Source organism: Homo sapiens, chromosome 11 (genome assembly GCF_000001405.40).
Source record: "Homo sapiens chromosome 11, GRCh38.p14 Primary Assembly".
Lineage (NCBI taxonomy): Eukaryota > Metazoa > Chordata > Mammalia > Primates > Hominidae > Homo > Homo sapiens.
Genome location: NC_000011.10, coordinates 36,483,769 through 36,510,286, shown reverse-complemented (window position 1 = coordinate 36,510,286; position 26,518 = coordinate 36,483,769). Strand labels below are relative to the sequence as shown.

The following is a 26,518-nucleotide window of genomic DNA, read 5'->3' as shown; positions in this document are numbered from 1 at the left end:
CGCTCCCCGCAGCCAGCAGAGAAGGCGGAAGCAGTGGCGTCCGCAGCTGGGGCTTGGCCTGCGGGCGGCCAGCGAAGGTGGCGAAGGCTCCCACTGGATCCAGAGTTTGCCGTCCAAGCAGCCTCGTCTCGGCGCGCAGTGTCTGTGTCCGTCCTCTACCAGCGCCTTGGCTGAGCGGAGTCGTGCGGTTGGTGGGGGAGCCCTGCCCTCCTGGTTCGGCCTCCCCGCGCACTAGAACGGTGAGTCTCCTTCAGGCGCCTCCTCCTGGCGGCCGCCGCCTCGCTTCCCAGCGGTCAGGGACGCCGCCCCCCGCCCCTTCGCTCTCGGCAGGTCGGGGACGCAGTCCCTGTCCCCTCGCTTCCCACCAGTCGGGGACGCCTCCCCTGTCCCTTCGCTTTTCACAGGTCAGGGACGCCGCCCCTACCCGCTTGCTTCCCACGGGTCGGGGACGCCGCCCCTGTCCTCTCGCTTCCCGCTGGTCGAGGACACCGTTCCCTGCCCCTCGCTTCCTGCAGGTCGGGACGCAGCCTCTGTCCCCACGCTTCCCACAGGTCGGGGACACCGTTCCCTGTCCCCTGACCTCTGCTCCCCAGGCCTCCTCTTCCTCGCTCATTCCACCCCCTAAAAAACCCCGCGTCGCCTTACTCAACCTCGCTCCCCTCAACTCCGCTTTTTCCCCTTCCCAGATAAGGAAATTGCCTCCTGCAGTTGTCCGCTCCTTGGAGCAAACACCTGCTTAAATTTTTAAAAAATCCTTTACGTTCCTGGCGACTCCGGCTGTCACTGTCATGGGAAAGCTATTTTTGGATTCCCTGTTGAACTCTATAGAAGTCTCAGGCAGCGAGTTTAAAAAAAAAAAAAGGCTCAGATGACACGAATGTTTTCTCCCCCGCCCCTAAACTCGGTAGTTCGAGCGATTGTTCCAGACGCCGGGTTGATAAAGCTGTTCCTAGTATTTGGCTTAAGGGGAACTCCAGCTGAGTTAGGACTGTCTTGAATGTGAACAGAAAGCACCTAAATAAAGTATTAGCAGCTTCGCTGTATGGTATTTAATTGTTTCTTTCTCTGAGAGCAGATTACTATTACTGAATGTCTTGTTACACAGGTTCCATGTAGAAACGAGAAAAACTGGTAAAGAAATTCTGTGTTGGCCTTGTGAACTTGGCCGCTATCATTTCATTCATTCTCCTTTGATTACTAGGGAAGGGAGAGGGGCTTTTCAAATTTTGAGGTTGAGTGTATAGGCAGGAACAATGTGGCCTCTTTTGTGACTCTAGGAAGGAGTCCGGCATGTGGTGGGTACAGGATCACATCAGAGTTTCAGCCTGCATGCACCACAATATTTCAGAATTGTAACATGAGCTCTTCTCTGTGATAAATTTGGGCATGTGATGCCGGTAAACTTTTGGACACTTAGATTTGGAGAGAAGTTCAAATCCTTGCCTCCTGGAGCAGAGTAAATAGTGCCCAGGAAGGGGAATGCCCCTTGAATTTGGATTCAAAGTTAAGGCACAACAGTTGAGTATTTTGCAGCATCTCTTGGCCATTGGAGTACATTTGTAGGTCTTCACACTTTAGAAATTTAAGAAGCTGGTAAACAGTTTCTGTTTCTAAAGCTAGTAGCACATTAAAGATAATTTCTCATATTTTCTTTACATGGTTTTACTTCAATAAGTTACATGTTTACTCGTATGAATTTCAGTTGACTTAAAATTGACTCATTTAAGACATAACTTGTTGACTTCTTTTAACTTGGCACATACCTCCTTAGCATCTGCCTTGGAGGACAAACTTTTTGTGGATTATCCTACTTCCCCCTCCCCCAAGACATGTTACAGTATTCTCTTTTGATTATAATGTACACCCAGATACTAATTCGTGAATTTAAGTCTTGATTTATGACAAGGCTGCTTTCAATACTACTCATTTTACGGCTGAAATAAGTTAGCAGTAGTTAACGTTCCACAATCTTTAAGGTAGTGCTTATCATACTAGATTTCGCAACTGCAAAAGGGGATTACAGTCAGGACACTCTTAACATACAAGTTAAGGAACAATTTATACTTTGTTCCATCCCTTCATTAATTCCTGTAGAAAGCCACGTAAGTATACTAGAATAGAGGCTGTAAGAAATTTTTATTTTAGGCCTGGCATAATGGCTCATGCCTGTAATCCCAGCACTTCGGGAGGCTGAGGTGGGAGGATAGCTTGAGACCAGCCTGGGCAATATGGCAAAATCCTGTCTCTACAAAAAAATACAAAAATTAACCAGGCTTGGTGGCACACACCTGTAGTCCCAGCTACTTGGGAGACTGAGGTGGGAGGATCACTTGAGCCCAAGAGGTGGAGGCTGCAATGAGCCATGATCGTGCCACTGCACTCCAGCCTGGGCAATAGAGCAGGACCCTGACAAAAAAAAAAGTGTGTGTATATATATGTATATATATACACATATATAAAATACATGTATATATGTGTATATATACACATATATAATATATACATATATTTGTATATGTTTATATGTATAATACATGTATGTATGTGTATATATACATATATACACGCGCGTGTATGTATACATATATACACGCTCGTGTATGTATACATATATACACGCGCGTGTGTATGTATACATATATACACGCGCGTGTATGTATACATATATACACGCGCGTGTATGTATACATATATACACGCGCGTGTATGTATACATATACATGTATATATACGTGTATACACGTATATATACATATATACATGTATATATGCATGTATACACGTATATATACATATATACATTTATGTATGTATAATACATGTATATATATATACATTTATGTATGTATAATACATGTATATATACATATATACATTTATGTATGTATAATACATGTATATATACATATATACATTTATGTATGTATAATACATGTATATATACATATATACATTTATGTATGTATAATACATGTATATATACATATATACATTTATGTATGTATAATACATGTATATATACATATATACATTTATGTATGTATAATACATGTATATATACATATATACATTTATGTATGTATAATACATGTATATATACATATATACATTTATGTATGTATAATACATGTATATATACATATATACATTTATGTATGTATAATACATGTATATATACATATATACACGTATATACATTTATGTGTATATACGTATATATACAAAGCACTTTTTGTTCTTCTCTTAGTGTTAGTTATCGTTATAATTAAGTTAGGTGATTTTTCCTTAAGTCATTGCAGTTCTTAAAACTAAAGGGACAAAATGTTTTACCAAAGAAAGAGGAAACAAAAATGCTAAGTGGCAGTCAAGAATTGTTTTTAACTTAATTTTCCCTTTATGTCTAGTTACATGAAACTAAATACTGTGGACTTAAAGGATAACTATATGAAAAAGTTTATTTGGAAAATAGAAAGCTTCTGGATTGCATCTTAAAGCGTGGAAAGTAATGTGAAACTTGAAGGCAAATAGATTTTGAACATGCTCACTTTTATGTGTCACACTGCATTCCCACAGTGGAGTTCCTTTTAAGGAATTATAACTGATTAGACAGATTTTCTTAGGAACACATTAGCTATAAAAGGTCTCTTCAGACCTAAAGACCTTCAAGCCTTTTGAACTGGACTGGAAGCAGGCAGTGTATAGACTATCCAATAAACTATATTTTAAACTGGACATTTGGGCAGAAAAGAAAAGATACACCTAGCTTCATAATTTCTGCCTTTGTCTTGTGGCCAGCACTTGGATATATGTCCTACACCAAATAACAAATACTAATTTCTCAAAAGTGATTTTACTTAAAAAAAAAATGGTTCAAGACTGAAATATACCTGATGTTGTCAAGCGTAGAGAAAATGGACTCTTGCATATATACTGTGCTTGTGTGAGTGGAAATTAGAATGTCTTTGATACATATTAGATAACCAGCATTATCTATCAGAAAGCTTAAAAAGTTACATACCCTCTGATCCAACAATTCTACCTCTAGGAAATTTACCTAAGGAAGTAATTGGACACAGAAATGTACAGATATACCTCATTTTATAGCACTGGTTTTTTGCACTTCCCGGATACTTTTTTGTTTTTTTTTTTTAACATATTGAAGATTTATGTCAACCCTGTGTTGTGCAAGTCTTTGCACGCCATTTTTCCAACAGCGTGTGCTCACTTTGTATTTGTCTGTCACATTTTTGTAATTCTTGGAATATTTTAAACTTTATTATGTCTGTTATAGTGATCTGTGATCAGCGATCTTTGATGTTACTATTGTAATTGTTGTTTTGGAGTACATGCACCACACCCATATGAGATGATGAACTTAATAAATGTGAGAGCTCTGACTGCTCCACTGACCAGCTGGTTCCCTTACTGTCCCTCTCCTCAGGCCTCCCTACTCCCCTGAGACACAGCAATATTGAAATTAGACCAATTAATAATCCTACAATGGCCTCTAAGTGTTCAAGTAAACCAAAGAGCCACATGTCTGTCACTTTAAATCAAAAGCTAGAAATAATTATGCTTACTGAAGAAGGCACATCAGAAGTCAAAATGGGCCATTTAGCCAAATTGTGAATAGAAAGGAAAAGTTTTTGAAGGAAATTAAAAGTGGTACTCCAGTGAACTCACTAATAAGAAAGTGAAACAGCCTTATTGCTGATATGGAGAAAGTTGTAATGGTCTGGATGGAAGATCAAACTAGCCACAACATTTCCTTAATCCAAAACCTAATCCAGAGCAAGGTCCTAATTCTCTTCAATTCTGTAAAGTTTGAGAGAGGTGAGGAAGCTGCAAAAGAAAAGTTGGAAGCTAACAGAGATTGGTTTATGAGGTTTAAGGAAAGAAACGCATCTCCGTAACATAAAAGTGCAAGATGAAAGAGCAAGTGTTGATGTAAAACTACAGCACATTATCTAGAAGATCTAGCTACGATCGTTGATGAAGGTGGCTACACCAGACAACAAATTTTCAGTGTATACTTAACAGCCTTTTATTGGAAAAAGATGCCACCTAGGATGTTCATAGCTACAGACAAGTCTATTCCTGGCTTCAAAATTTTAAAGGACAGGCTGATGACGTTTTTGTTAGGGGCTAATGCAGCTGGTGAATGTTGAGTTGACACCAGTGCTCATTTACACTTTTGAAAATCCTAGAGCCCTTAATAATTATACTAAATCTACTCTGCCTGTGCTTTATAAAGGTAACAACAAAGCCTGGATGACAGCGTATCTGTTTACAGCGTAGTTTACTGAATATTTTAAGCCCACTGTCAAGAACTGTTCAGGAAAGAGAGATGCCTTTCAAAATATTACTGCTCATTAACAATGCACCTAATCACCCAAGAGCTCTGATGGAGATGTTCAAGAAGATTAATGTTGTTTTCATGCCTGCTAATATAACATTCATTTTGTAGCCCATGGATCAAGGAGTCATTTAGACTTCCAAGTCTTATTATTTAAAACATGCATTTCATAAGGCTATAGCTGCCATAGAGAATGAGCCCCCGATGGATCTGGACAAAGTAAATTGAAAACTTTCTGGAAAGGATTCACCTTTCTAGATGCCATTAAGAACATTTGTGGCTCATGGGAGGAGGTCAAAATATCAGCCTTAACAGGAGTTTGAAAGAAGTTGAACTTGAAAGAAGCCCTCATGGATGACTTTGAGGAGTTCAGGACTTCATTAGAAGTCACTGAAGATGGTAGAAATAGCAAGAGAACTAGAATTAGAAGTGGAGTCTGAAGATATGACTGAATTTCTGCAGTCTCATGGTAAAAAACTTGAACAGATGAGGAGTTGCTTCTTATGGATGAGCAAACAGTGGTTTTTTGAGATGGAATCAACTCCTGGTGAGGATGCTGTGAACATTGTTGAAATAACAACAAAGGATTTAGAATATTCTACAAACTTAGTTGATAAAGTAGTGGGAGAATTTGAGAGGATTAACGCTATTTTTGAAAGAAGTTCTCGTGGGGTAAAATGCTATCAAACAGCATCACATGCTACAGAGAAATACTTCATGGTAGCAAACTTCATTGTTGTATTATTTTGAGAAATTTTCACAGCCACCTCAACCATCAGCAGCCACCAACCTGATCAGTCAACAGCCATCAACATTGACGCAGGACCCTCTACCAGCAAAAAATATTATAGCTCGCTGAAGGCTCAGATGATCGCTAGCATTTTTTAGCAATAAGGTGTTTTTAAATTAAGGTATATACATTGTCTTTTTAGACATAATGCTATTGCACACTTAATAGACTACTGTATAGTGTAAACATAACTTTGTATGGGAAACAAAAAAATTGTATTACTTGCTTTATTATGGTATTTGGATTATTGCGGTGGTTTGGAACTGAATCCAAAATGTCTGAGTATGCCTGTATATGGGAATAAAAATAACAAAGGATATATACCCTAGTGTAGCATAACAGCATCATTTGTCCTCAGATTTGGAAGGTATAAAGGGGGCCCTATACCGTATTTTACGACCCAGCTGTAGTGACTAGTTCTGCTATTTTCTGCTGTCTTGCCATTGTTTGCTTCCTTTCAATCTGTATGAACCTTCCCTAGGAGTCCACATCAGATATAGCAAGGCCATGGGAGCTATTTTTAACTTCGGGAATACTGTATCAAAACTAAATAAACCACAGCCGGGCTCGGGGGTTCGTGCCTTAATCTCAACACTTTGGGAGGCCAGGGCAGGTGGATCGTTTGAGGTGAGGAGTTCCAGACCAGCCTGGCCAACATGGCAAAACCCCGTCTCTACTAAACACAAAAATTAGTTGGGCGTGGTGGCGGGCGCCTGTAATCCCAGCTATTGGGGAGGCTGAGGCGGGAGAACCCAGAGGCGGGGGTTGCAGTGAGTCGAGATCGTGCCATTGCACTCCAGCCTGAGCGACAGAGTGAGACTCTGTCTCAAAAAAAAAAAAAAAAACTTAAGTAAACCACATGCCAAGTTTCTTTGCAGATTCTTTGGAATTCTGTCAATGTAGTGTAGTAGTGCTGGACAGACCATGTTTAATAGTAGCTGTGGCCAGCACTTTAGTGTAATAAAATAAAGGCAAATAAATTTTAAATGCAGCTTCATGGACAAATTGGTCAAAACATGGATAAAAGTAGTGTATTACAAAGTGCAAAGCTCCAAGGTCAGGTAGACGTGGGTTCTGATCCCAACTCTGTTACTTATTAGTTGGGTAATCTTAGGTAAGTTACTTAACCTTTTAAGCTCCATAGTTACCACTTTGATAAGTGGTGACAACAAAACTTAAATACTACATAAAGTTGTTGTAATAATTCATTCTTACTGCCTGGCACTGTTCTAAGTGCTTTGCACATATTAACACATTTAATCTTCTCAGTAACTCAAGTGGATTTTATTGTTAGAACCATTTTACAGATGAGAAAATTGAAGCACAGAAAGGTTATATAATTTGCCCAGCTCATAAATGGAAGAAAAGAGTTAAATTCGTATCATTCAATTCCAGCACCTGAGCTCATCACCACTTATTAGCACTGCGTTTCCAGCCAGAATAGTACCTCATTGTAGGCGGTCATCAAGTGCTACTCAGAATCTTTGAAAAGAATAAAAAGGTATTTGTAGTGGTAAAAGGATTGAGTACTACTGTCTTAATCCTCGATTTGGTGAAGTGGCAGCCAGGAATTTTATATAAAAGTGAGACAAGCAGGAGAATATGACTGGAGGCCTACATTCTGTTTCTTGAATGATATCTGACACATACTAGAAATTTTTTTCAAAAGTAATTATTTAAAATACAGTTGTGGTTACATGGGCTGTGAATTGCTTTTAAATATTAGCTTCTCGCCTGTAAATACCATAATGGTTTAGAATTTGAGGATATCTCATCTGCTCATGAAACCAATAGTTTTCCATAGGCAAACAAAACATCACTTGTTTTTCCAGTCATTAATAATGAAACATAGTCACTTGACCTGACTGAAGGCAGAAGGACATAAAAATACACTTTTTCAATTCTATTTTTAATACCTAATAGAAATCTCCACACTGAGCATTTGGAAGTCCTTATAGAATTTTAGACCTAGAAGAAAAAACCAAGATCTAAATGGTTAAGTAACTTGCACTAAATCACACATCTAACAGTGGCACATGATCACCTGATTCCTTGCGTACTGCTTTTCCTGGCACTGAGCTGCTAGCCATACTATTCCCTTCAGCTCAGGATACTTCAAGGAACTTCAACAACATGGATAAGTTCTTTAGCGATGCTTAGTGAACACTTACTGTATGAAAAATCGTGTGCTAAGTACTGCGGAAATGGAAATTAAAATATTTAGCTCAATCACAGGAAACAAACATGTAAACAGATAATTGTGATATAGAAGAGTATTACAACTGAGGTGCTTCTCCTTTTTTAACTTTATATGCTGTCGTTCTACTAGATCATGAACTTCTGAAGGGACCCAGCTTTCTTTGTGTGCTCCAAGTGATTTGCACAAATAATAATATATATATTTATTGAAGGAGAGAATCAGGTAACTTATAATAGTCATGAAAAAGCTCAAAACACTTTTAAAAGTTTTCTGTAAATAACATTAATACAGCTGATGTACATGAATTAAAAAGTGACTTGTATAGATAAGCTATGATATATATGTGTGGGGTGTGAGTGTGTGTGTTACTTATAAAGGCATTTTTTTCTTGCTATTTCTACAGAGCAAGTGATAATCAAGTTACTATGAGTCTGCTAAACTGTGAAAACAGCTGTGGATCCAGCCAGTCTGAAAGTGACTGCTGTGTGGCCATGGCCAGCTCCTGTAGCGCTGTAACAAAAGATGATAGTGTGGGTGGAACTGCCAGCACGGGGAACCTCTCCAGCTCATTTATGGAGGAGATCCAGGGATATGATGTAGAGTTTGACCCACCCCTGGAAAGCAAGTATGAATGCCCCATCTGCTTGATGGCATTACGAGAAGCAGTGCAAACGCCATGCGGCCATAGGTTCTGCAAAGCCTGCATCATAAAATCAATAAGGTACGTGAGCATAAGAAAAAATGGTGTCCTATAACAGAACCAGATGCAGAGAACATTGTTACATAGAACATGGAACATCCCAAAAGTAGTCTTACACATAAAAAGCTACTTAGGAAAAAAGAACAATGGACAGAAAATTGAGAAAGTTAGATTCTTATCCCAGTTTCCACTGTTGTGTGAAAAGTGACTTGAATCTCCTCCTCTCTTGACCCTTGGATAAATAAGTAAATAATTTGCTACTTTTACTTAAAGCAATTCTAATGCAGACTGGGGAGTGACTCTATGCTTTAAAGAAAATAGTATTTTTTAAATGTACCTTAAATTATGATGCTACTAGATAAGGATAATCTCAACCACACAAAGAATACTGACTCTGTAAGTGATCAGTTATTGTGATTTTAGGCATGTTAAATCTTGTTTATTACCTAAAGTGTATGGTCAACTGTAAAATTACCAGTATTTTTAAAGAAAGTATTAACTGAAGGCTCTACCTTCATAATATATCCAAAATCCAGTCCCTTCTCACTTCCTCCCTCTGCTACCACCCTGTTGTGACTCACCACCAGCTCTCTAACAGGCCTCCTGCTTTCTATTCTTGTCTTCCAGGCTGTTCTCAATACAGCAGCGGGAGTGGACCTAGTAAAATAAGTAAGATGATGTCATCTCTGCTCAGACCATTGTAGCAGGGTATCTGGGAGTAAAAGCTAAAATCCTTATAAGACCCTGTGTGATAGGCCCATGATTCATTTCCTGACCTCTTTTCTGCTGCACTCTTTGTCCTTCTACCCATTCATTCCCTCTTTGCTATCCCTTGAACATGTCAGGCATGCTCCTGCCTTGGTGAGTGGTGGCTTTAGCTCTTCTGTTTGTAACACTCTTGCCACAGCTAACCCCTTAACTCTTCCACTTTGGCTCAAATCTCACCTTCTCATAGGTCCCCTCACCACCGTATTTATACCACAGCGTGGTTCCACCTTTCTTGCCGAACAATCCCAATCTCTCCACCTGGCCCTAATTTTCTTTTTTCCCTTAGCACTTTCTGCCTTCTAAAGCACCAAATAATTTATGTGTTTATTGTCTGCCCCACTGGATGATAAGCTCCTTGAGAGCAAAGTATTAGATCTGTTTTATTTCTTGATTTTTCCCAAGTTCTGGAAATAGTGCCTGACCCATAGTAGATGATCAGTAAATCATGGTTGCTTTAACTGAATGAAAGTACTTGCAATTTCCATGGAAATAGATACATTTTACTATAATTCAAAAGTACATGGGAATTTTGTAGGTAACTAAGGAGTCCTATACAGGACAAAAAATTGGATGAAGGGGGGCAGATTTTATGTTCTTCAATAAATAGCCATCTAGTTATATTAGTGAATTCATTATAAGTCTGTCCTGGCAATTTGTTAGTCTCCAAAGTTTTTATCTGCCAACTTTTACATTAACTTTTCTATAAAACTTGAATTTAAGAGTAACTACATCCATACTCGGGACTTGGCTTAATTTAAATCACAAAAGATAATGTCTGCTGTTTCAATTTTGGGGAAAGATGTATTACACAGCGCTGACTTAACAAGATCTATTTTGGGTAGATTTTTCTCAACCTCCACATTATTTTATTTTTGAGATGGAGTCTTGCTCTGTCTCCCAGGCTGAAGTGCAGTGGCGCGATCTCGGCTCACTGCCATGCCCAGGAAGGTAGCTAATCTTCAGCAGCTTTTTAATAGCAAGATGTTCATGAAAGTAGTGGGACAGTGGTCTGAAAAGGAAATACAACCCACAAAAAGAAGTCTGAGGCTTTTTTTTTTCTGTCTCCCTGTAAGCTTTTTAAAAATGAACACTTAGCCCCAGTGTTCTTAAAGGAACTGCTCTGAAATTTCTCATTGAGTATGTTCACTCAAGGAATCAAAGTGCATCTCAATACAATCCCATTTTCTTTTTCTGAGGATAGTTTTTTCCATCATAAGAAAGAATAAACCACTGAGAAGCAGGACATAGAGGTCCTTTAACTTTCTGTAACATTGGACCCTAGACATACAAATAAAGGAAACTTTTGTTGCCTGTTAGCTGGAGTGTTATAGTGACTATTTCAGAGTAAACTTTAAAATGTGACCTCACGGAGGTACTGCTAAGTGCTTAAATTTTTACTTATGACTGAGCAATTGCATTATAGACATGTTATTGGTACTGTGAGCAGCATATTCCATCTTTCTAGTGTATTATATAGGTGTGACAACACAGAGGCCAGACTGCCAAAATTCCCATTCTTTCACTTCATTTTGTACCAATCAAAATACCTTATTCAGCTAATTTTTCTCAAAAAGCTGGAATCTATCCCACCATATAAAAATCCCTTAGCTTTTGATAGGTTATCAGTATGCTAGTTGTACTCATTTCATAAAAGAACAGTTTGTAAGCTCTCCATAAAAGGACAGTTTGTTTTGGTGACCTGCAATATAATATGTTAAATTGTTTTTACTTATGAAACAGTAAATGGAGAATTTATATATGGTGAATTAAAGTTGTTTGGATTTTCTAATGTGAGTCTTTAAATCTAATTGTGTGTATTTTGTTTCTGTTAGGGATGCAGGTCACAAATGTCCAGTTGACAATGAAATACTGCTGGAAAATCAACTATTTCCAGACAATTTTGCAAAACGTGAGATTCTTTCTCTGATGGTGAAATGTCCAAATGAAGGTTGTTTGCACAAGATGGAACTGAGACATCTTGAGGTATTAAAGTTCTTTTCTAGCTGTTAGCACATGTATAAAAGGAAGTTCCTACAGAATAGGGACTTTGCTGTGTCCATCTGTGTATTGCCAGTACCTAGCATATGATGATTGGTTAATAAATTCTTGCTGAATTAATGCCAACCCTTTAATTATTGAATATAAATGTAAGTAGAAACCAGAAATATACTGTTTTATCTACTCTGGCTTTGCCCAGCAGTAATTTTTTTAAAAAATCAGTATTGTTTCATAAGCTTTTGGTAAGCTTTATCTGCAGTAAACCTGAGGAGCATTTTAAATACAGGTGTCGGCCAGGCACAGTGGCTCACGCCTGTAATCCCAGCACTTTGGGAGGCTGAGGCAGGCGGATCACGAGGTCAGGAGTTCAAGACCAGCCTGACCAATATAGTGAAACCCCGTCTCTCACTAAAAATACAAAAATTAGCCAGGCATGGTGGCGTGCACCTGTAATCCCAGCTACTCAGGAGGCCAAAGCAGGAGAATCACTTGAAACCAGGAGGTAGAGGTTGCAGTGAGCCGAGATCACGCCACTGCACTCCAGCCTGGGCGACAGAGCGAGACTCTGCCTCAAAAAAAAAAAAAAAAAATACAAGTGTCACATTTTAATCTTGCAATTTCATTTTTGTCATTTTGAAATAAGCAGTAATTCCCAAGTAATCATCTCAGTATCCTCATTATACTTTTTTCTGTTTTTCTAAATTGTGCATTTTATTATGAACTAAGTGGAATACGCCTATAGTTTCAGATTAACAGAAACAATCAGATTATAAAATAATTTGCTTTTATACTAAATAGATCAATTATTAGCTTGGTGATTTTTACCAGAAATTAAATTTAGTGTTATATTTGAAATTAAATGTTTAAGGCAGATATACTACTTGCTCCTTTTACTTATTAGCTCTTAAAAGAGAGTGGCCTTTTTGACACAGTAATAAATTGATAAATAGGAAATCTGACTTCTTTCCAACACTCTTTGCTAGTTGGATGCATGAACTTGAGAATTCACATCCTTTGTATAAATTTGCAACCCATGACCATTTTAAAAAATTCGCTAAAGACGTTCATATTGTGAATGGTTCTGTGGTGTGCATTAGACAAAGTAGGTTCAGTAGCCTGCTGAAAGAGAACAGTATATGATTAGGAGAGCTTATATGTAGAAGACTTCAGAGTTGGCTAATGCTAATCCATTATTTTTTTAATTATAGGATCATCAAGCACATTGTGAGTTTGCTCTTATGGATTGTCCCCAATGCCAGCGTCCCTTCCAAAAATTCCATATTAATATTCACATTCTGAAGGATTGTCCAAGGAGACAGGTTTCTTGTGACAACTGTGCTGCATCAATGGCATTTGAAGATAAAGAGGCATGTACTAACTTGGATTTGTTAAATTCACTACTTCTTAAAATATTGTTCTTAAATGTGTACTTGAGGGGGTTAGCAGTAGATAAGGATGTGACTCCGACTCTGAGTCTACATTATCAATTTTGGGAAAAATGATTTTTAAGAAAAAGAAGGTTCAATAAGCCATTTTAGTACATAAGTGTAGAATTTGTTTTGCATGTCTTTCTTAAAAAAACATTTATACTAGTTATCACTATTGTAGATATGCAAGTAACAGAACTTCTAAGAAAGGCATATGCCGATCAGCTTTCCTGTGTGATATTTTAATAACCAATTTTGGATTGGAGACAAACAAGTAGATTAAGATAAGATCTACACAAAATTATTCTGAGAAACAGAATAGGTTGTTCTAACTATTACAAAGAATAAATCAAACCCACAAAGTATGTTTTCTTGATGATACTTTATCGTGCAGCGTATATAATGTATTTACTTCTCATTTTGTATGTTAAATTTAAAAGTTTATCCTTTTTTTTTTTTCTTTTTTTGAGACAGAGTTTCACTCTTGTTGCCCAGGCTGGAGTGCAATGGCATGATCTCAGCTCACCACAACCTCAGCCTCCTGGGTTCAAGCGATTCTCCTGCCTCAGCCTCCTGAGTAGCTGGGATTACAGGCACGTGCCACCATGCCCGGCTAATATTTTTGTATTTTTAGTAGAGACGAGGTTTCTCCATGTTGGTCAGGCTGGTCTCGAACTCCCGACCTCAGGTAATCCGCCCGCCTTGGCCTCCCAAAGTGCTGGGATTACAGGCACGAGCCATCATGCCAGGCCAAAAGTTTATCTTTTAAAAAGAAACTTGGTAGTGCCTAACAGCATCATGATTATAGGACAGTTTTTATATTCAGAAACTGAGATAGATTAAGTAGACTTGTATTAATATTGCCAATAAAAAAAGCTAACCCTGAAATCGAAGCCCTTGATCCCTATCCTATGTATACTTTTATAAAATAACCTACATATAATTTATGTTTTTATTCTGTTACTTAGATACTTCCTTAAACTATAGTTTTTATAAATTCACGTTGGCAGTTTTTCCCCACTTTGAGATCAAGCATATTTTATCCATTACATTGATAAAATATTCAAAAAAAGTTAGCTAACTTGGTATAAATGTAGAGAAGTCTCAGTCATAATTAGAGTAAAATGACAACTCCTTTTTTTCTTTATTTTTTTGGAGATGGAGTTTCACTCCTGTTGCCCAGGCTGGAATGCAATGGCGCAATCTCGGCTCACCACAACCTCTGCCTCCTGGGTTCAAGCGATTCTCCTGCCTCAGCCTCCCAAGTAGCTGGGATTACAGGCATGCATCACCATGCCCGGCTAATTTTGTGTTTTTAGTAGAGATGGGGTTTCTCCATGTTGGTCAGGCTGGTCTCGAACTCCTGACCTCAGGTGATCTGCCCTCTTTGCCTCCCAAAATGCTGGGATTACAGACATGAGCCACCACGCCCGGCCCGACAACTCCTTTCTAAACTTTAGTAAATTAGATTGACTTAACCTGGAAGGCTAATTATTTCTCAGCACATCAACTAAAGTCATTATATTCTAGAAAATAAGGCTTACCCTTCTGGGGCATATGAGAAACTGAGCACCAAATCCTCATGTCCTAATAAAAGATTTGTTCTTTAACTCTACTGACAAGAAATTTTAATTAAATTGTCATGCTGCTGCTGAAAATTTTTGTAAGATTACCTTTGGAGAAGTATAGCCTCGGCAGATGATGTCCAAAGTAGATACAGGTGTACCACCTCAGGATAAAAGGAAGGGATTTGAAAAATTATTTTTTATATACTACCCTGCTCTTTTAAAGAGCTGGAAAGTTGAATGAATCTCATTATTACACTGGGAAAGAGAAAGAAAATAGCCTTTATATATTACTCTCACTTTCACTCACTTTTGCTTTGTACAAATTGATGTCCTTATTTGTTTATAGTGAAAAATTGCTTTTTATCAAAATTAGTTGTTTTCACTTTTTCAGATATTCTCATGCTTTAATTATATTTCTCTAATAAAATTCAGATCCATGACCAGAACTGTCCTTTGGCAAATGTCATCTGTGAATACTGCAATACTATACTCATCAGAGAACAGGTATTATTCATTTTCATAAATTATTATTTTCATAAACAGCTTAAAGAAGTGAATTAGGTTTTTTAATTGAAAATTTAAATCAATAAGGCAAAGAAATACAGATTGAAGAAGTATTAGAGCTGTGTGAAAATTTTTTATATAAATTAATATAAGTAATAAATACTTTCAGGGAGAACAAAACATCCAGCCCTTTTTAAGTACTTAAAATTCCTAAGTCATTAACATAATACCTGTGCTTTTGTATATTCATAAAAATTCCCAACAAAACCAATTTTAAGATAAAAATAATCAAAAGTAAGGGTCCCCATTTAAAGAAAGAAAAAACTAAGATATATATATATATATTTACACACTGTGAAATGAGGATCTCAAGTGTCCAGAGATTGGCTGAAAGAATAAGAGGGAACAGCGAAATAAAGGAAGGCAGTTCTGTTCAGTAGGAGAATAATATTTGTAGCTGTAATCCCTGAGGCATACAGGGAAGTTTTCAGATTTTTAGGACCTGTAGCCCTTCTGTTCAGTTGTCCTGTAGGCCACTGACCGGGCATCATTAGAAGTAGTAATTGTAATAGAAAATTATATGGTGGGGTTTTTTTGTTTCTTGAGATAGAGTCTCACTCTGTTGCCTAAGCTGGAGTGCATTGACACAGTCATGGCTCACTGCAGCCTCAAATTCCTGGCTCAGGCGATCCTCCTACCTCAGCCTCCCAAAGAGCTGGGACTACGGGCGTGCACCACCATGCCCGGCTAATTTTTTATTTTTTTAGATTTTTTGTAGAAACGGGGTCTTGTTATATTGCCTAGACTGGTCTCGAACTCCTGAGCTCAAGCAATCTACCTGCTTTAGCCTCCCACAGTGCTAGAATTATAGGTGTGAGCCACCAAGCCCAGCCCAAAGATTGTTTTGACTATTAGTAGAGAAAGGAAAATTCCATCTGATTGCTATCTTCTGACATTTGGGGAGTTTACCCACAAAATATGAATATTAACCATTAAATATTTATATACCCATGAAATCTGTAAACCCAGAGATCATTATTGATATACCTTACTGAGAAGCAGCAAGCAAAACCTGTCACTGGACAAGTTTGTTAACCTTAAAACTTTTTCATTGGTTTGTTAACAGTCTCTTAATTTTTCCAACAAAGCCTTAATTTGAAGGTGTTAAACATCTTTTGCTTATGAAGTCCTAACTCGTTTTCCTTTTTGCTGTCTTTTAACATTTAAAGGAAACCATGCAACAAATTAAAACCCAGCAAAAGAAAATACAAGAAAAAACCCTAGGCTAAGAGTCAGAAAACCTGGGTTTTAGTCCTAGGTTTAAACTGTGATTTTAACTGTGCCCTCTCATCTTTAACAAGTTGACATTCTAAATAGATCTGGGATCAGCAAACTGGCCTGCCAGCTAGATCTGTCTCTCTACCTGTTTTTGTAAATAAAGTTTTATTGAAAGACAGTCATACCCATGTGTGTATGTCTTGTGTATGGCTACTTTTGTATGACAATGGTAGAGTTTAATACTTAGGACAGAGGCAGTACAGCCCATATTTACTATCTGATCCTTTACAAAAAATTTTATTGGCCCCTGTTCTACACTGTTCCCTCTTGAGAAATGAAGGATTGAATTATAATAAATGGTCTCTCAGGTACTTCCTGTTTGAAATATCTACAACTATAGCTACATTAAATTTCTAAAGGGAATTTGGCACCTCTTTGAAAAAATATGATTGAGTATAAAGGATCTTACCTTAGAGAATGTGTCTTAGAGTCCCAAAATCCAGGACTGAGACTTTTTTTAGAGCTTCTATTAATGTGTTTAAAGTACCTTCTAACATCTGAGTCTCCCCATTGTAGCTAAAATATGCCCAGCTTAACAAAAGTTAAGAAGATTGTTGAAAGGTGGTCAAAGATGATTTTTGAGAGGTGGTCATGAGGCAAGTATGGGTGTAGTCAGTGGCTTCAGTGCATGCAGTTGACTGGTTCCTATTAAATGGCCTAGACCATAGTGGGAGTCTTAATCCAGTTTGCACTTGTAGCTATTGTTAGGTGTTTTTTCTGTAAAGTGCCACTAGAGGGTGCCAGTTCCCAGCAAGAGGAACAAATTCATTTTCTTGAAATGAATTTTGGATAATTGGAGGGGATATTATGAGATGTTGATATTTCCTTTCTCTATAACTTTTGAAAGTAGATGTTCTTTTAATTTTTGTGGGTGATGGTTTATGCTGCACCTATTCAACTGCCAATGTGGTACAAAGCAGCCATTGACAATACAGTTTAAATGTGATCGCATCAAACTAGAAAATGATATGCAAGGAAGAGATTTTTCAGCCTTTGTTTTGGATTTCAGATGCCTAATCATTATGATCTAGACTGCCCTACAGCCCCAATTCCATGCACATTCAGTACTTTTGGTTGCCATGAAAAGGTAAGGTTTTTTTTTCTTTTAATTCTTGAATATAAGTAAAAAAAAATATTTACATCATGTAGTGGAGAATAACAACAAGAATGTAGATGTAGTTGTAAAGCAGTGTAATAAGTGATATAATAGAGTTATTCATGGATGCTGTGAGCAGAAGCAAAGGCATACTTAGCAATGCCTAAAGCATTCAGACAGACTTGACAAAACATGATGCTTTGGGCTGAATCTTGACAGGTGAAATAGTTTTCCAAGAAGACAAAGGAGAGAAGACCAGTGAGAAAGAGTGAGCATGGTGATTTGAGGAACTACAAGTAGTTTGTGTTGTGCTAGTTCAACCCAATAGCAATGTAGATGATTTGAGGTGGAGGTGGGGGTACTAGTACCTGAGCTGTTGGAATACCTAAGTGAAGACAGCTTGAATTATGGCGATGACCGTCAAGATAGACCTAGGAGCCAGTACATATTTAGGAGAGAAGATCTACTGCCTGTGTGACTAAATAAATGTGATGAGTGAAGGAGAGGGAGGCGTCTAGAATGACTCTTGGTTTCTGGCCTTTGTCACTGGGTAGATGGAAGGGCCATTCGGCAAAAAAGAGTGAACACAGGAAGAACTGACTGGAGGTAGAGTTTAAAAAAAAAATCTGTTTTAATGTATTGAATTACAGATAATGACTTCACCCAGCTAGGGAACAGGTGGGATGACTGACATGCATTATGTGCTGTCTTAAGCCCCAAAGAGAAATTAGGACTCAGAGTATTGATTTGGGAAAGTGATTTGTGGTAATAATGGAAGTTGTGATTGAGATCATATGGCGTATGTACAGGAAAGAGAAGTATGCCAAGGAAAAGAGCCATGAACAAACAGTATAAGAAACAGATGAACCAGGCAAAGAGAAAGTAGTATTATGGTCTCCAAAATTAGTTTCAAGATTCATGATCAGTAGTGTCAAATGTCTGAGATTGATCATTGTTTATGATATGTCTTTCTTTTTGGAGAGTGCAGTTACACTTTTGGTTTTCCATTATACTTTTTTTTCCCTGACTTATGTGTAACAAACATACATTTAATAATTTAAAAAATAAAATGAGCAAAATGGTATGGTTGTATTTTGTGGGAAAATTCTGTATTGTGCTTAGAGAAAAAGAAAGAAATAAAATGTTAATGGAAGTTAGGTGAGATATTAGGTAACACCCTTTTTGGTCATCTATATTTTCTAGGTTTTTTAAAGACTATATGACCTTTTATAATAAAAATTGTTGTATTATGAATGTTTTTCGTATAATAGGGTGTTCTTAATGACCTTAGAATGGCATGGTGCCAGGAGAAATTCCAATTTGCAATAGATTTGTATACTGGGAATTGCAGACAATACAGGTAGACTATATTCTTGACTTTAAAAAAAATGGTATTAATATTAACTAGAGAGAGACAAAAGCTCTTCAGAGAGGTTTGTCCTTTTTTGATGGGAAAGACTTCAATAATTGTATTCTAAAGGAAAGTGTTAGAGGAAGAGATGTTTAAAGATGAAGAAAAATCACTGAGTAAAATCTCTGGGGTGTCGCAACAGGTCAGGTAACATTTAGAGCACAGGTAGAATGTTAATCTTGGAGAGGACAGGCATCTCAGTTAGAAAAGAAGGATGTGTGTAAATACATTTTTTGTAGGTGGGAGGGAGATTTATGTGAGTGAAAGCTGGGAGAGTAGTCATCAGATAGTCTGTTTTTCAGTGAACTAAGAGGCAGAGTCGCCTCATTGGATCAAGAATCTGTTGAAGGCAAAGGAAAATTGTAGAGAATTGAGGGAAGTGGTGTGACTACTTGAAAACTTCTTATTTGACCTGGCCAGGTCCTTTTCCTACTCCTCACGGTATCTATTCCCAGCCTAAGGCTTGTGCTTGATTTTTAGATGCAGAGGAATCACTTGGCACGCCACCTACAAGAGAACACCCAGTCACACATGAGAATGTTGGCCCAGGCTGTTCATAGTTTGAGCGTTATACCCGACTCTGGGTATATCTCAGAGGTCCGGAATTTCCAGGAAACTATTCACCAGTTAGAGGGTCGCCTTGTAAGACAAGACCATCAAATCCGGGAGCTGACTGCTAAAATGGAAACTCAGAGTATGTATGTAAGTGAGCTCAAACGAACCATTCGAACCCTTGAGGACAAAGTTGCTGAAATCGAAGCACAGCAGTGCAATGGAATTTATATTTGGAAGATTGGCAACTTTGGAATGCATTTGAAATGTCAAGAAGAGGAGAAACCTGTTGTGATTCATAGCCCTGGATTCTACACTGGCAAACCCGGGTACAAACTGTGCATGCGCTTGCACCTTCAGTTACCGACTGCTCAGCGCTGTGCAAACTATATATCCCTTTTTGTCCACACAATGCAAGGAGAATATGACAGCCACCTCCCTTGGCCCTTCCAGGGTACAATACGCCTTACAATTCTTGATCAGTCTGAAGCACCTGTAAGGCAAAACCACGAAGAGATAATGGATGCCAAACCAGAGCTGCTTGCTTTCCAGCGACCCACAATCCCACGGAACCCAAAAGGTTTTGGCTATGTAACTTTTATGCATCTGGAAGCCCTAAGACAAAGAACTTTCATTAAGGATGACACATTATTAGTGCGCTGTGAGGTCTCCACCCGCTTTGACATGGGTAGCCTTCGGAGGGAGGGTTTTCAGCCACGAAGTACTGATGCAGGGGTATAGCTTGCCCTCACTTGCTCAAAAACAACTACCTGGAGAAAACAGTGCCTTTCCTTGCCCTGTTCTCAATAACATGCAAACAAACAAGCCACGGGAAATATGTAATATCTACTAGTGAGTGTTGTTAGAGAGGTCACTTACTATTTCTTCCTGTTACAAATGATCTGAGGCAGTTTTTTCCTGGGAATCCACACGTTCCATGCTTTTTCAGAAATGTTAGGCCTGAAGTGCCTGTGGCATGTTGCAGCAGCTATTTTGCCAGTTAGTATACCTCTTTGTTGTACTTTCTTGGGCTTTTGCTCTGGTGTATTTTATTGTCAGAAAGTCCAGACTCAAGAGTACTAAACTTTTAATAATAATGGATTTTCCTTAAAACTTCAGTCTTTTTGTAGTATTATATGTAATATATTAAAAGTGAAAATCACTACCGCCTTGTGCTAGTGCCCTCGAGAAGAGTTATTGCTCTAGAAAGTTGAGTTCTCATTTTTTTAACCTGTTATAGATTTCAGAGGATTTGAACCATAATCCTTGGAAAACTTAAGTTCTCATTCACCCCAGTTTTTCCTCCAGGTTGTTACTAAGGATATTCAGGGATGAGTTTAAACCCTAAATATAACCTTAATTATTTAGTGTAAACATGTCTGTTGAATAATACTTGTTTAAGTGTTCCTTCTGCCTTGCTTACTTATTTCCTTGAGGTTACGAAGTAGCATCTTCCCCAGAGTTTATAATGCTGAGAACCACGTGGATACCAACTGCTCATTGTTATGCTATGTAACCCTTTTTGTCTATTCAGTGCAGAGTGAATTTCACAGCTCTGCATATGTCTTCATTTGTTTAATGCTTACAAGACAGGAGATGCACACATACAATCAGCAACATAAAAATTAAAAGTGACCCAAGTAGTCAGCGCATGTGGCATCTCATTGGTGGTGACAGAAGCTATGTGAGCCAGAAGTTTTCAGCTCTTTTGAATACCCTCTGGTTTATTTCGATTAAAAAGAACAAAATTGATTTCCTAAAATCAGAATTTTTTAAAACTTGGGAGATGATTGGAGATACCTAGGAGGTCACCAAACTAGGATTAGAAGTCACAGTGGTTGTATCACAACTTAGCTTGAGTATGTTGCTGTAGCCTAACAACTGCAGGTTCTGAGAAGGATCCTGTAGAATCCTGGAAGTAACCAGATTTTCCTAATAGGGAGATGATTTTTTTGTGTGCCATCATGTATTTGTTAAAGGCCTATATATAGATATAAAATATCGTGGAATCTAGTTCTCAGGGAGACCCGCAACTAGTATAAGCTTATAAAGGATCTAAAGATCCATCCACCATTTAAAGTTGTCTGGTAATGAGAGATGACATTGTATCCCCCAGAGAGGCCAAATCAGAGTCGCCAGCCAGCGTTCTAGATCAGCCTTAATTTCAAGAGAAAGCCAAGGACCTCATCTGCAGGGGAGTGTGGTTTTCAGCCCCAGCGAGTGTCACTTTGAACTTTCCCTTTGCTTTTTTCTCTCTTCTCCCTCCCCACCCACCCTTAGGCTCCTGATCTGGTGAGTTTGTTATGGAGTGAAAATAAAAGTCAAGCAGAGACCTTGTTTCCCGTGCCACCATTAGTACCACAAGCTCATGGCTAGTTACCACATTACTTCCTGGCAGTTTGTGTCCCTCAGCTGTGCCTTCCAACCAGCGCCTGAGAATCACTGCATACCACCCTCTAGGTAGGGAAACCTACACTGCTGCTGTTCCTGTGATTATTTTACAATGAATAAATAATTGTCAAGTTCCATTTAAAAACTGAACAGTAGTATTTTTGTATTTGCGTAGAAAAAGCCTGAAGGAAATATACTAAACTTTTTGTTGGCTTATTTTCCTTTGCGCTTGCTTATATTTTTTACATTTTCTACAATAAATGTGTACTTTTATCGGAGAAAAAAATTAAATGTTGCCACAAAACATTTAATCTCCACGCCCCCAGCTCAAAAAAGGAAATGATATTTAAAAGCTTCCTGGTCAGATTTCTATTAAAAGCACTGGCTGTGCATTAGATACAAAGAGGAGTCATTTCCTGCCTTGGTGATACTATTTTTTTCTACTAACTCAAGAGTCTTTATTAAAAAAAAAAGTTGTTTTGCCTAATTTCAGCTTTTAGCAAGCTTCCCATCTGTAAAATGATTTGGACCAGATATTTCTAGAGTCCCCTCCAGCCATAACATTCTGTCTCAAATTAAGTTCCAACCAGCAGAACAATGACAATACTTAGGAAAGTATTTTGCCAGTATAAAATGTCTTTAACTTACTCTTTGCTGACACTGATACTTTCCTCTAATTTAGTGTCTATCAGCTGGGTCACATCTTAAGTAAAATGAGCAATTTTAACCCCCAACATTTGGCATTTTGTCATAAACCAGCCAGTTATTTTATGCTGGTCATTCATCTTGACTACAAAGTAGAATAGTCAAGCTGTCATTCCAAATAGAAAACTTTTTACTTCAATCAGAATTAAGCCTTAACCTGGAAAGTTGGTTTCTTCCTTACATTTTCCCAATCTCCTACTCTATTCTTAAACATGCTAGTTTCACTCAGTTGGGTATACAAGCCTTTGGGCTTTATGTTGTATGTTACTAACCACCTTTTACCATATTTATCTTTTGGCATCATTCTGGGACATTGCTAAATTAAAAAAGAAATTGTTTCCACTTTTTTCTGGAGATGTTCAACTAAAGGTTGTTTTGTTTTGTTTTTTGTTTTGAGACAGTCTCACCCTGACGCTCAGGCTGGAGTGCAGTGGTGCAACCTCGGCTCACTGCAACCTCCACCTCCCGGGCTCAAGCCATTCTCCTGCCTCAGCCTCCCAAGCAGCTGGGATTACAGGCACCCGCCACCACGCCCAGCTAATTTTTTTGTATTTTGAGTAGAGACCGGGTTTCACCATATTGGCCAGTCTCGTCTGGAACTCCTGACCTCAGATGATCCGCCCGCCTCAGCCTCCCAAAGTGCTGGGATTACAGGCATGAGCCACCACGCCCAGCGTCCAACCCACTGTTGGATGAAACTTGCTGCACGTCATACATTTTGCTGTTGGCAAACAAGTCTGAATGTTGATTTGAAGTTTGGTAGTTTATTACTATCTATTGGCAGCAAAGACTGTTTATTGGTATACTACAATATGATTTAACTTTTATTTTGGGGATAAATAGTAGAAAAAAGTGAAACAGAATGAAGGCAGGTGTTTTTTATTCTAATGATGGAATAATACAGAGATACTGGACGATCTCTAGCAGTTAATTATTGTGACCCATATAAAATTATACAGGTCACAGTATAATTCTCTATTACCGTTTTTACACCAGTAAGTCTTAGATAAACTAAGCATGCTTATGAATTATGTATACAGTTAGAATGCATTATTTTTACAGAGGAACAATTGCTTGTATGTACTAACACTGTTCTCTTGGCTTGCCTCAAGTTCTACTCATTATTTTATATAAAATACTATTAGGCTGGGCACGGTGGCTCACGCCTATAATCCCAGCACTTTGGGAGGTGGAGGCTGGCGGATTACTTGAAGCCAGGAGTTCGAGACCAGCCTGGCCAAAATGGTGAAACCCCATCTCTATAAAAATACAAAAATTAGCCAGGTGTCATGATACATGCCTGTAATCCCAGCTTCTTGGGAGGCTGAGGCACGGGAATCGCTTGAACCCGGGAAGCACAGGTTGCAGTGAGCCAAGATCATGCCACTGCACCCCCAGCCTGGGTGACAGAGTGCAACACTGTCTCACAAAACAAAACAAAAACATCAGATTCTGTTTGTGATGCCTAGTTGCTTACAACCTAAACAGTGCAATGCCTTAAGGAAATGAAAAGGAGCCATAAGTAGTCATTTATATTTTTATTTTGAAGTGTGCTTTTTCTAAACTCCCAGATTGACATGATGGACTGTAAGTTAGTTTCTCTGTTTCTGTCTTTGTGCCTGTAGAGTGTACTTGGCACTTACAAATTCCCAGTATCCAGAAAGATGATCTGATGAAATCAAATTGGATGGATCTTGGCAGACTGTGACACTCAATTACAGCCTTCACTTTCAGTCAAAAACGGACACTTGGCAAGGAGGTGCCTGGTTGTTTCACTAAATGTCACTTGTGTGTGTAATATTTTAAAGCTTTTTCCCCACAGGAAATTCGGGTCATAAAATCCTGAAAAATAATTCTAGGTGGGAAAAGCATTTTAGGAAATGAGAGATGTGGTGCTGCTTTTCTTCTCTCAGAGTGCTTTCTCAGCAGGACACTAGCCCTGCCTTTAAGATGGGGAAGTTGGGGCATGTGCCTCTGCTCTTACTGTCTGCAGCTCTGAAGGTAGGTGCTGTCCCACTCGGACAATCGCCCAAGCAGCAGTGACCATAGTTCTCTTCTATGCAAGTCCCCAGGAGAAGGTAAACTGTGTGGAATGGGGATGTGTTCTGGTTGCTGCTGAATCCCCTCTTCTTACCACAGTGCCTGGCACGTTGCACACACTCAAATACGTAATAATGAACATTTATTGAAAGCAGCAGTTGAAGCTGACCAATTTCTGGTACCTTGTCATGTAAATTTTAGATGGTAAGGCGCAGATGTTACTTTTTTTGCTTTTTTTCTTCAGCACTTGATGAAATTTCCCAAACATGCAGAAATGTTGAAAGACTTGTATAGTGAACATCTACGACCTAGAATCTGCAGTAATATTATGTTACATTTGCTTTATCACTTGATAGATGTTACTTTTAATGAGACTTCAAGTTTGGTTTCTCTAAACAAAATATTCTAAAATAACTGAACAACTTTAATCAATTTGTCTTAAGTTCTTTGGGGGAACTTGGGACATTTGCTTTGTAACTGGAATTGCAGCCCTCACGTTAAGCTAATTTTAAACTTTGCAAATTTGTTATGCTGAATTTCAGTCTTATTTATTTTGCCTGAAGGGGTATTTTTTGTAATGGATTTATTTGAAGGTCCTTGATAAATTGTGCAGAATATTCTCGTGTTCTTTTTGCACTTGATAAATTATCTAATTTCTGTGGTGAGAATGTAATTTGGGGCCTATTTTGTTTATACAAGCTTCCAGAATTATGTTCTCAGAGGGATGAAAAGGTGTAATTTAGCATATAGGTCACTAAATTAGGAGCTAAGACACATTTTCTCCTGACTGACCATGGGTCAATCAGTTTTGTCTTCGTGTCCTTTTCCTTGTAAAGTAGAAACTAGAATTTGAAATTTAAATATTAAATAATGGGTAACATTCATTAATGTATGACTCTATTAAGAAAGACACTGTGAATCCAGGGAGGATTCTCATAATTCTGTAAACTGTATGACAAGCTGTGGAATGAAATCTGACTTTTGAAAATTGAAAGACATCCAGTGGTCTTATCACAAAGCCTGCTTTTCCTCAGAACTTAACTATTGCCATGGAATTTGTAAGCAGTTATCCTAATCCATCTGGACTCTGAAAATGCATCCTTTATGAGAGGGAGTGAATGCAAAGATAAGGGTGGGGAAACACTAATCATGAAAAGAATGAAAATCAGTGTTCAGTTTTAAGAGCAGGTTGTATTGAAGGAAGGGATTAAAGGAATTATCCAGATTTGAGGTGGCACATCTTCCACCACTCCCTGCACCATCAGCATGCACGGAGCGCATAAAACAAGCCCTGCTCCTAATGGCAGTGAAACCTCGGATGGCCTCCATCAGGTCAATACAACTGAATTGCTGGGCTGACTTAAGATTGAAGGACTCCATTTTAGTAAGTAGAGAAGTGTGACCTTTCTCAACCCAGGTTGTGAATGTGGATTCACACTTATCTCAAAAAGGCACCTGGAGTTTTAACTTTATGTCATGTCTCAGTACTGGTTGCAAGGTATGACCAAAAGTGTTCCTTGAATGGCACCTTTTTGAATATTAATTTAGAAGAAAACATGCCAGACTGACATACTTACCCCCTCCGCACTGTTACTACTTCCTTACCAGCCCTATGTACTGCATCAATGTCTACAAGAAAGCACTCTTCATTAAAATGAAATATATATATTAAAA

General features: G+C 38.3%; 1 protein-coding gene across 2 annotated transcripts, besides 2 other annotated features; it reads left to right on the top strand.

Moving 5' to 3' along the window:
• Window positions 1–14: 14 nt before the first annotated feature.
• Window positions 15–26,518, top strand: TRAF6 (TNF receptor associated factor 6). 2 transcript variants are annotated; one of them, NM_145803.3, is made up of 8 exons: window positions 15–239; window positions 8,476–8,568; window positions 8,750–9,067; window positions 11,647–11,797; window positions 13,021–13,179; window positions 15,240–15,311; window positions 17,659–17,736; window positions 19,637–26,518. In NM_145803.3, the coding sequence occupies exons 3-8, from the start codon at window positions 8,772–8,774 to the stop codon at window positions 20,447–20,449; spliced, it is 1,569 nt and encodes a 522-aa protein (NP_665802.1). In that variant the 5' UTR covers window positions 15–239; window positions 8,476–8,568; window positions 8,750–8,771; the 3' UTR covers window positions 20,450–26,518. The 2 variants fall into 2 exon arrangements, with proteins under 2 accessions (NP_665802.1, NP_004611.1); NM_004620.4 differs by lacking the exon at window positions 8,476–8,568.
• Window positions 147–196: an enhancer, noted in NCBI's record as "active region_4633". NCBI's record gives its function as "activates an Ori minimal core promoter by ATAC-STARR-seq in GM12878 lymphoblastoid cells {active_cell/tissue: GM12878}" and the evidence as "EXISTENCE:reporter gene assay evidence [ECO:0000049][PMID:35858748]".
• Window positions 8,290–9,489: an enhancer, noted in NCBI's record as "CDK7 strongly-dependent group 2 enhancer chr11:36522348-36523547 (GRCh37/hg19 assembly coordinates)". NCBI's record gives its function as "activates an origin of replication core promoter dependent on BRD2, BRD4, P300/CBP, MED14 and CDK7 cofactors, with strong dependence on CDK7, by STARR-seq in HCT116 cells {active_cell/tissue: HCT116}" and the evidence as "EXISTENCE:reporter gene assay evidence [ECO:0000049][PMID:35650434]".